The sequence below is a fragment of the Homo sapiens genome, chromosome 1 (assembly GCF_000001405.40).
Source record: "Homo sapiens chromosome 1, GRCh38.p14 Primary Assembly".
NCBI classification, from domain to species: Eukaryota; Metazoa; Chordata; class Mammalia; order Primates; family Hominidae; genus Homo; species Homo sapiens.
Genome location: NC_000001.11, coordinates 2,915,470 through 2,925,326, shown reverse-complemented (window position 1 = coordinate 2,925,326; position 9,857 = coordinate 2,915,470). Strand labels below are relative to the sequence as shown.

The 9,857-nt window shown below is 58.4% G+C and overlaps 2 annotated features.

Moving 5' to 3' along the window:
• Positions 3,166-3,225: an enhancer, noted in NCBI's record as "active region_57". NCBI's record gives its function as "activates an Ori minimal core promoter by ATAC-STARR-seq in GM12878 lymphoblastoid cells {active_cell/tissue: GM12878}" and the evidence as "EXISTENCE:reporter gene assay evidence [ECO:0000049][PMID:35858748]".
• Positions 3,606-4,165: an enhancer, noted in NCBI's record as "H3K4me1 hESC enhancer chr1:2837727-2838286 (GRCh37/hg19 assembly coordinates)". NCBI's record gives its function as "activates a minimal SCP1, AML or CMV promoter by ChIP-STARR-seq in naive H9 embryonic stem cells {active_cell/tissue: H9 hESC(naive)}" and the evidence as "EXISTENCE:reporter gene assay evidence [ECO:0000049][PMID:30033119]".

Here is a 9,857-nt window from a genome sequence, read left to right as displayed (position 1 = left end):
GGGGGGCTGCATTCCAGAGAAGAGATCATGAGGGTTCCCACAGAACAGCCAGGCACCCCAGGCCTATGGCCTCTGCATGTCCAGCCCTGGACACAGGACAGCCCCAGCCTCAGGGAGGGCCCAGGCCCAAGCACGGCAGCCAAGAGTCCCCAGCACCCTCGTCCTGCCCTGTGTACCCACCTTCCTGGGCACCTGGCCCCTCCACCATTCTCAAAGCTGACAGCACAGCGTCTTCCAATCCCTCTGACCTCTGTTTCCGCTGTCCCATCTCCTCCTCTGCCCGCTCTGACCCCCTGCCTCCTCCTATGAGGAGGACCCCGTGATCACATCGGGCCCACCCGGACAAGCCAGGATAACACCCATCCCAGATCCTTAACTTCATCCCATCTGCGAAGTCCTTTTTGCCGTGTGAGGTGACACATTAACAGGGGTCCAGGGGGTCCCCCAGGGGTCGTTCTCCTGCTGACAGCACTGCTCTTGGCCCCAGCTTGGGGCCTGGGCTGCCTTCAGGAAAGCCTGAAACAACAGTGCCCCCATAGCCAATCAAGTGGGGAGCGACTAGAGCTCCAGCCCCCATGGAGGATGTGTTTCCTTCTGTCTTTTGGGAGGTGTCTGCAAAGGCCTCTCAGACAGGGGACATGGCAGTCAGGTCATGGAAACATCGTGGTGTGTGGAGACTCAGGGGCGGGAGGTGGGCAGAAAGAGAAAAGTGTGACCCATAAGCCCCAAGAGGGGACGTGGGGACACCCGCGGCCACTCAGGGAACAGGCAGATGTTTGACCGCTCAGGATGGGGCCTGCCTGCTGAGGGTGGAGGGCAGTGAAGGTGGGCTGGGGGCTGGCCCTCCTAAAATGTCCTAGAGGGCGAAGCTCCCTCCCCTGCCTCATTGGGTCCCAGTGCTCTCCACTGCATGCGTGTGACCGCCGCACCCCCAGAAGAGAGAAGACAGAGAGGTGGAGGGGCCATGCCCCAGGATGACGCTGACCCCAGGGGAGAACCTGAGCCTCCGGGCCCATCCCTGGGTGGGAAGCCTGGCCTGTTCTCTGCATCTGGCCCCAAGTCTTGGCCCTGGGTGCCTGCTCACAAAGCCGCCCGAAGCCAGCTGGTGGGAGGCTTGGGGGAGGGGCCGCCATCGTGGGACATCCCTTGTTCGTTCCTGCGTGGTGGCTTCCGTCCGTCTCATCCTCCTGTGTGGCACGGCCAACCCCAGCCCTGGACCCACAGTCATGAGCGTGGAGTGGCCTTGCACAGGACTTCATCCTGGAGCCTTTGTCAGCAGCCTCCAAATCTGCCCAGACCATCGGAGTCAGAGGCGGCGCCTGCAGCCTGGGGCAGTCGCTGAAGGTCCTGGGGGTCTTGGGCAAAGCAGGACCTGGATGATGAGACAGCTGGCCCACGCCTGCTCCTTCTGTGGCACCCTGGCCCCAAGAGCTGCCATTCCATTGCTCAAAGACTTGGGGACCCAGCGTTGCCTTGCCCGAGACTGTTAACAGAGCCCAGGTGGGATTTGGTCCCGGGAGAGTAGAACCAACCCTGCCCTGAAGCCCCTTGAGCATTCTGGAGCATTCTGGAGTCTGGAACTCGTCTGGAAAGCTGCTCACGTTCCAGGTAAACTCCTGCACGCCCCGGCCTCGGGAATCCGGAGAAAAGCGCCCCTCGAAGATTCCCTGGCTCTGGGGCCCCTGTGCACACCCGGGGAGGAGAACTCAGAGCCGCGGCCAGGCAGCGAACCCCACTAGGAGGCACCCCAGGCCCCTGGGCTTCCTGGGGAAGGGGGAAGGGAGTGGAGGGGCCCAGGGTGGGGGCAAGGGCTCAAAGCAGGGGCGGGTGAGAATCACAGCAGCCCACGAAAAGCCAGGCGCACGCATTCGCGGCCGCACAAGTTCACAATCGCCAAAAGGTGAAGGTGTCACAGATGCCTCTGGGTGGACAAATGGCTCCATAGATGTGGTGAACGCATGCAGGGGGTCATGGTCAGCCAGGAGAAGGACAGCGGCACCCACACACGAGCATATGCGGGCTGACCAAGAGCGTGAGGAGGAGGGAGAGAAGTTGGGCATAGGCTGCCCCACGCATGGTGACATGTATCTGAAATGTGCAGACCGAGGGGTCCTGAGAGATGGAGCACGGACCATAGGTGACCAGGGCCTGGGCAGGGCTGGGGGAGGCTCACACGGTCCCTAGAGACAGACCGTGGGCCAGAGGTGACCAGGGCCTGGGCAGGGTTGGGGGAGGCTTACAAGGTCCCTAGAGACAGACTGTGGGTTAGAGGTAACCAGGGCCCGGCAGGGCTGGGGGAGGCTCACGGGGTCCCTAGAGACAGACCGTGGGCTAGAGGTGACCAGGGCTCGGCAGGGCTGGGAGAGCCTCGCCCTCATGGTTTTTTAAGGGTATGGGGTTCCTTTTGGAGATGATGAAAATGTTCTCATACTGTTTGTGGTCGTGGTTGCGCCTTTATGTGCATTTACTGAAAACCATCGGATTGTGCACTTCAGATGGGTGAATTGTATGGTATGTGGATTACAGGTCCATAAAGGTGTTTTTGATGACAGTGGTGACCCAGTCGCTTTCGGGCTGAGCCCTGAGGGGTGCAGCTGAGCCCAGGCCTCTCCAGGGCTGCAGGTTCAGGGATGGAATCCACCCCGGGCTCTGGCTCCTGAGTCTCCCATGCGGTTCCAGACTCTTTATTTTCCATACACATTCACGGCTAGCGGTGCCAGAAAAAATACCACGTGCCCAGTTATCTCTGAATTTCACATCAGTGATTAAACTGTTAGTGAAACTACGTCCTCAGTGTTTCATGGGCTGTGCCTCAACCCAAACATCATTGACCCGACCCATGTGGCCCATCGCTGATTTGAACAAAACCTCGTTGATTCAGATTGTTGATCTGAATTCAGATTGAACTGCACTTCCTGAATTTTTAGTTGCTCAACCTGGCCACCCTGCCTGGACCCCCACGGTGGGGCCACATACTCAGATCCCCAGTCCCAGTCTCAGTGCTTGTAGGGCCCCAGGGAAGGCGGACCCCAAGGGACACACGGGGACGGAGCTGGGCTGGCAGCGGTGCCCAGGACAGAGTGGGCGGCCGCGCTGGCAGCCACTCACCACCAGGGGGCTCGGCGCCACGACTTCCTGGGCGCCCAGCTCTGCCCCAGAGCCCAGACAGACGGACGGGGCGGCCAACCTTCTGCAAAGATGGACGGATGGATTGAAAGAGGCAATTGCCCTCCTGCACAGCTGGATGGACGGACAGGGGAGCCCAACTCGGCCCCAGAGCCCAGATGGATGGACAAAGGCAGCTGCCCTCCTGCAGAGCTGGATAGACAGATGGACAGAGGCAGCCACCCTCCTGCAGAGCTGGATGGACAGATGGACAGAGGCAGCCGCCCTCCTGCAGAGCTGGATGGACAGATGGACAGAGGCAGCCACCCTCCTGCAGAGCTGGATGGACAGATGGACGGAGGCAGCCGCCCTCCTGCAGAGCTGGATGGACAGATGGACGGAGGCAGCCGCCCTCCTGGAGAGCTGGATGGACAGATGGACGGAGGCAGCCGCCCTCCTGCAGAGCTGGATGGACAGATGGACGGAGGCAGCCGCCCTCCTGCAGAGCTGGATGGACAGATGGACGGAGGCAGCCGCCCTCCTGCAGAGCTGGATGGACAGATGGACACAGGCAGCCGCCCTCCTGCAGAGCTGGATGGACAGATGGACACAGGCAGCCGCCCTCCTGCAGAGCTGGATGGACAGATGGACACAGGCAGCCGCCCTCCTGCAGAGCTGGATGGACAGACGGACACAGGCAGCCGCCCTCCTGCAGAGCTGGATGGACAGATGGACAGAGGCAGCCGCCCTCCTGCAGAGCTGGATGGACAGATGGACACAGGCAGCCGCCCTCCTGCAGAGCTGGCTCTGCCCATGCCTCCCCCCGAGATGCTGCAGCTGGGAGCTCCACATGTGCAAGGAGCGGGGGACACCGGTCACTCAGCTGCGAGGGGAGAGGGGATGTGGGTCACTCAGCTGTGAAGGGAGAGGGGATGCGGGTCCCCGCATCCACGGGAAAGGCAGGGGTGGGGGAGTGCGGCTCAGGGCAGAGGTGGGGAACAGGCAAGGGTCTCTCGGAGGTGGGGGGCTTGGGGGGGCTGCCATGAGTGAGACAGCTTCCCCTGCGTGGAGCTGAATAAGGGGCGAGCAGCGGGGCGGCAGTGGGGGCTGGAGCTGCAGGTTTCCGTTGCCGGAGCCTGCAGAGCAGCCAGATGCAACTACCAAAGTCCCGAGCCCAGGCCGAGACGACCAGCCACACTCAGGGGTGGCAGCATGTCTCGGGTCTGCTCCAGGAGCCTTAGGGGAGGTCAGAGAGGCCAGCGGGGCCCGGTGGAGTGAGAGTTGGGGGCCTGGGGGCCATTTGACAAAAATAGGGACCTCAGGGACCTTAGGGCTCTGGAGCCAGCAGCCCAGGTTCAAATCTCCACTGCCTCATTTCCTGGCTGTGTGACCTGGGCAAGCGGCTTGACGTCTCTGTGCCTGCCTCCCATGCAGGCCTGTTAGTTCAGGTGTGTGGAGCACTGGGAGCGGGGCCTGGCGGGGACACAGGACACTGGGGCAAAGGCATCCTTGTCCCTCACTGTCCTGTCTCATGTGAGGACCCCAGGCTCTGAGGCAGGAGCCTGAGTAAACAAACGGGGCCTGGGGGACCCCTGAGCCCTGCCACATGGGCGCTCCACGATATTAGGGCTTGGCTGGAGATGACTGGACTGGGGGAGCTGCCGCTGGAAGCCCCATGAGCCTGACAGGACCTCAGCCAGTGGGCTCTGGGAGCTCAGGGTCCTCCTCCCCAGGTCCTGAGCACGGTTCCCCACGGGTGGGCATGGGGCTGGGCACAGCCTCGCCACTGAACACAGCCTCTCGGAAGAGCCCAGGCTGGGTGGGCAGGGGTCCTGTGCCCCCCAGCGGCTCTCCCTGCCCCCATCTGCAGTGAGCGGAGGGGAGAGGTGCTGCTCCCGCGCCCCCCACCCACAGGGAAGCCCCCACCGCAGCTGCTGGGCTGAGCCCGGCCATAACGTGGCCTTCACTGTGGGTTCCCCTCCCTGACTTTTGATATTTTGAAGCCCACTTTTATATTTTAATGCATGTTTTTATGGAAATATTTATGGTGCACATGTAGCACGTAAAACACCGTTGTAAAGCTGTTTCTCCCCAGTGCTGCTGAAATAAATGATGTTGTTACTGTTCTGATTTCGCACGGCTCGCAGGGGTCCAGCTGGCCGTAATGAGAATGGTCTGGGCCTGGTGCCGCCGCCGTCCCGAGGGCTTTGGCCTCCGTCTGCGCACGGGACTTCACGGTGCTGTAGAAAGGCCTCACAACAGCAGCCTCCCTGCCTGAGGGAGGGTCAGGCCTGTGGTCAAGGGTGCTGGGGAGGGACCTCCAGGGACAGGACGGGCCGCTGCAAAGACCTCCCTCCCGGACACCCAGGGGACTTTTTAAAGAAAGCCACTTGGAGGAGAGAACTCTGTCTGGGCTTGACTCAGTTTCCCCAGCTGTGAACTGACAACTCCTTACTCTGCCTGTTCCCGCCTGGCCTCCAGGGGACAGGGCACACACGTGATCATCCCGGCAGGACACTCCCTGCCCTGTCCGCCCGGCCTGGATGGATCCCCACTCTGGCTGACCCAGGAGCCTGACTCCTGCTGTCCAAGGACGCTCCTGAACCATCCTCGGTCACAAACAAAGACTCAAAAACCAAACTCACTTTGTCATCACCTACCTGGTGGCTTCAAAGGGGCAGAACTCGGGGCTGGCCACCAAAGTGGCAGAGTTTAAAAATTAATAAGCCAGCATCAGAAAGCCCTCTCCTGACCGGGCCCTGGTCCACTGCCTCTCATCCCAGGGCCGTGAGGCAGTGAATAATTGAGCAGCTCCTGTGTGAAAGCTCCGAGGAGGTGAGCTCAGGAACCCGTGTTAAAAGCAGCCCTGGATTTCCATGGTTCCGGGCAATGAAGCAGAGGAGACGGTGCAGGGAAACAGGCACCAGGTGACCCCGGAGACAGCAAGGGCTGTCCCTGGCCACGGGCCTGCCCAGCTGCAGGGAAGCCGGCTCTCCCGCTGGTTCTGCCTCTCTGAGGCTGCCCCGCCTGCGTGATGGGGGGACCATTGGGGTCTCACGCAGGCACTGTGACAATCAAGCAAGATGAAGAAGACAGCATTCGCGCAGAAATAGCCTGTTGGGCGGTGGAGACGATGCTCCTCTCAGCAGCACAGAGGTCTACAGAGGTTCCCCCCGAGGGGGGATAACACGGCCAGGAGCTCTCAGTTCCTGTTTCTGGCTGGGCCAGGGAAGCCCTCTCCTCATCCCTCTTTTCCACTTATCACTAGCAACATAGACCAAAAACCATGGCCTCAGGCTTCTAAAAGCCTGAAACAAAACAAAACAGAACAGCAGCAACAAAATAAGGCAGGTTGGACAACTTGGAGGCCTTGGAAAAGACCATGTCCTTCTTAAGCCTTTCTAGAAAGTTACTAGAAAACCCCTGCAGAGGACCTGGCACAGGCCTCATTAATTCCAGAAAATGGCTTCTGTTTGCCAAGGACTTGCGCACGGGTGTGCTCACTGCCCTTAACAGCACGTGGAGGCCGGTGGGGTGGGGGCCGCGTGACACCCACTTTCAGATGAGAAAAGGAGATCAGAGGCTCGTGACTCCCCAGGGCCACCAGCGGGGAAGGCATGAGAGCACAGCGCAGGCCTCGCCATCAACCGGCTCAGCTCACGCTCCCCCTTCTCGCCCCCCGCCTGCCCCCAAATGTCACAGAGGACAAGGTCCTCAGAACAGAAACATGTTCCGTCCGCCTGCCTTGGAGAGCAAAGAGATCACCAGATGCCAGGAATAGGGAGAGCCAAACGCAAGGAGACCATATCTCCACACTTTACGAAAATAACAAAGGTGCCGAAACGCATGGCGAGTTCTAAAAATTGTTTCCCCACATCTCATAAAATCTCATGACTTCTCTCCCTGGACTCTGAGATCCAGGTTTCCAAGAGTGGAAAGAGATAGAAAAGATGCGTTAAGACCCCTCCCACCACCGCTGACATGAGGCTGGGGGCTGGAGGAAGGGGTCCCAGGTTCAGGGCACTCTCCTGCCTGCCGGCTCGGCTCTCCGGGAAGCCCCTCAGGCCAGCTAAAGGTCCCTGGGTAGTCACTTTGTCCTGCTTGGCCCAGGCTCCCCACCCTTCAGAGGACCCCAGGCTGCTTTTGGTTCATTGTTGTAGATTGAATTGTAACCCCAAAAAGATACGTTGAGGTCCTAACTCTGAGGACCTGTGAACGGGCCTTATTCAGAAATAGGATCTTTGCAGATGTCGTCACGTTAACATGAGGTTGTGACACACAGGGAGAAGACAGCTGTGCGACAGGATGCAGAGCGTGGGGCCCTGTGGCCGGGAGTCAAGGAAAGCCAGAGCCTGCAGAAGCTGGAAGGGGCAAGGAGGACCCTCCCAGAGCACCCGTGGACACTGGATTTCAAACCTCATCCTCCAGACTGGGGGAGAAGGAATCCCCATGACTCTCAGCCGCCTGGTTCATGGAACTTTGTTCCGGCACCCGTGTATGAATGCCTTGCCCTGAAGACGCACAGTAGCGCTAAATAAACAATGGGCGTCCAGGTGCTCCTGAAATGAGCAGTGATGGAACAGAGAGGCAGGACAGGAGCGTGGTTGGGGCTTTTAAAATCTTCAGACAGTAAATAAGCAGCCGACAGTAAGGCAGAGGGCACCTGGGCTGCCCTGCCGGGACCCTGCACCCCTGCCCGCCTCGCCACGATGCTTCAGGGTGGTTTGCCCACACGTCCGCTCACACGCAGCCTCGTGGAGCCGCCACGTTAAATATGCATGGCCTCTGCCTTCCCTGTCTCCATGCCCTGTCTCCAGCTGCGCACCTTCGCCTTATTTATTTATTTCAGGGGTTAAATATGTGTGTTCCTTTTGTTCCCAGCAAATGCATCTCCCACATGTTTGCATGTTTTAAATATTCACGCAGGTACGAGAACCACGACACACGACGTCGATTTATTATTTAGGGTACTTTTTCTCTGATAAAACAGAAGCACCTCCATTTGAAGAGGAATTTTACGTTTTATTTCCATTAAAGCCTCTCATTAAAGTTTAAAACCTGCTTTGTCCCTGTACCTAAGGATTGATATTTCCGTCTGTCAGGAAACCCATGGTGCTTGTCGACATGACCGGCGGGGGGAAACGCCAGGCGGGAGGGAAATGCCAGCCTGTCAGCCGGTGTGATGGGGCTGAGGGAACGCGAGGCTGGCCTGCCGAGGTCAGGACCCGCCTGGGGACGAGGCCTCTGAGCTTGGGTTCTGGGGCAGCCGGATCAGAGCCCAGAGGAGGAGGCACCACAAAATCCCCACGGCGACTCAGAAGAGCTCTGACGGTGGTAGTGGAGCAGACACAGGCCCAGGGGCCCCCACAAGCTGCCCCGCCTCGGCCCCACGTTCCAGCACCTGAGCAAAAGCACAGACAAAGACATATGTGAGCATGTGCAGACACGGGTGCCTGAGGACACAGCCATGTGTACATGCAGAAGCAGGCACACAGGCATGCTGGGGTGGCCCCTGGTCACAGGCCATGCTCACGTGTGTGCACACAGCTACAATTTCTCACACCTGTGCACACACTGTGGCTGGCACAGCTGGGAGTGCCCTTTGCCAGCTAGAACCCCGGATGCCGGCCATTGAGAATCCCGGTCCCAGGACACAGAATGTGTCTGAAGGCTGGAGGGGCCTTGGGCCCTGGGTCCTGGGAGAGGTCATCAGGAGTGTGTGTACATGTACGTCATGTGTGGGTACACATGTAGGTGGGTGTATGGACATACATCTGCGTGGGTGTGTCCATGTGCATATGTGTCCATGTGTATTTTCATGTGCAAACACATGCATGTGTACATGTGGATATGTGCACACATGGGCACCGGCTGTACATGTGCACATGTGGGCAAACATGTGGGTGTGCACATGATTGTGTTAATGTATGTGCTGTGTGCAGATGTGCATGTATGTTTGTGTGTGCATAGTGTATGTGTGCATGTGTACATATGCATGTGTGTAGACTGCAAGTATGAGTGCATGTGTGTGCATGTGTATGTGTGTGCAGTGTGTGCATTGTGCACATATGTTCATTGTTTTATGTACACACGTGTGTACATGAGTGCTGTGTGTGTTGTGTTTGTGTATATGTGTAGGTGTGCTGTACAAGTATGTGTGAATTTGTGTGTGTGCATGTGTGGCATGTGTGCATTGTATGTTGTGTGTGCATGTGTGTACAGTGCAAGCATGGGTGTGTGCATGTGTGCACATGTGTGTATGTCTGTGCTTTGTGAGTGCATTCATGTGTGCATGTATTGCTGTGTGGGTGTATACGTGTGCTGTGCGCTGTGCAGGTGTGTATGTGCATGTGTGGACGTGTGTGTGTGTGTGCGCCGTGGGAGTGTGTATATGTTCATGTGTGGACATGTGTGCATGTGTGTGTTGTGAGTGTGTGCATATGCATACATTTATGCATGTGTGTGCATGTGTGTGCATGTATGTGCTGCATGGGCTTGTACATGTATGTGTGTGGTGTGCAGCATGTATATGTGCATGTGTGTACATGTGTGCATGTGTGTGCTCTGCAAGAGTGTATGTCTGCGTGTGTGTACATGTGTGCATGCGTGCTGTGGGAGTGTGTATGTGTGCATGTGTGGACACGTGTGTGTGTTGTAGGAGTGTGTATGTGTGCACGTGTGGACACGTGCACTGGCCTAGCCTTCTGCAGCTTTTGTCCCTCAGGAATTGTCAGCATGGTGGGAGGGGGTGG